The 924-nt window shown below is 47.0% G+C and overlaps 1 annotated feature.

The window, feature by feature from the left end:
• Positions 375-434: an enhancer, noted in NCBI's record as "active region_8996". NCBI's record gives its function as "activates an Ori minimal core promoter by ATAC-STARR-seq in GM12878 lymphoblastoid cells {active_cell/tissue: GM12878}" and the evidence as "EXISTENCE:reporter gene assay evidence [ECO:0000049][PMID:35858748]".

Here is a 924-nt window from a genome sequence, read left to right as displayed (position 1 = left end):
TATGCAACCTTCCTTTTGCAAAGCCACGTGGCTCCTGCTGCCTAGATGGCCAACATCCCCAGTGTCCTACCTAGAGCCTCCTGCTTAGATACCTAGATCTACAGCATCTTTCCAGAAAAGTGGTCATTCAGCCTTTGCCTCATTCCTGTGACCTCTCCCACAGGCTTCCAGCACGTGGCTCTTTTGCTGCATTAGCCAGGGTCAACTTCTGCAGCTGCTGACAGGTTGTCTGACCAGAAAGTGTCTGAAGGGCTACTGCCCATGCCAGACAGGAAGTAAGTGGCTTTCTGTGGCTCTATCGTACATGAGGCTTTCCAGGATTGCTGGTGAATGACTGAGGCTCTCTATAGGGGAAGCCAGGCAGGGTGTGTTGGACTCAGCTCATACAGTCCTCCAGAGCAGGCTGTGTACATCTCTTTTACCGACTCTGCCTTCAGTGACCTCACCTGGTAGTTTGATATCAGCCATAGTGAAAATATTTACAGCATGGAAATTGGCAAACTCTGTACTTCAGGTTTGGTGGATTTTTCTTCCTCCACAAAGAGCCAGTTGTTAAACATTTACCAGCACACCACTGACAGCCAAAGAAGAAGAGAAGAAAGAGTAATGGAGAAATGGTCTCTGAGCCTTCCCCATCCAGTGCACCTTAGATAAACCCAGATTATTCTTTTCACTCAAAATTTTCCCCTGCCTTCCCAGTGACTAACAAAGGGGCCAGCAAACATTTTCTTAAAGGGTAGGATGGCAAATATTTTAGGCTTTGCTGGGCACACAGTCTGTGTCACAACTGCTCGGTGCTGCTGTTGTATTGTGACAACAGCCATAGACAACATGTAAATTAATGGGCATGTCTGTGTTCCAATAAAACTTTATTTATAAAAACAGGTGGCAGGCCAGATTTGTGCCCCAAGCTATAGTCTGCAG

The sequence above is a fragment of the Homo sapiens genome, chromosome 14 (genome assembly GCF_000001405.40).
Source record: "Homo sapiens chromosome 14, GRCh38.p14 Primary Assembly".
Classification (NCBI taxonomy): domain Eukaryota; kingdom Metazoa; phylum Chordata; class Mammalia; order Primates; family Hominidae; genus Homo; species Homo sapiens.
This window is presented reverse-complemented; position numbering and strand designations above follow the sequence as displayed.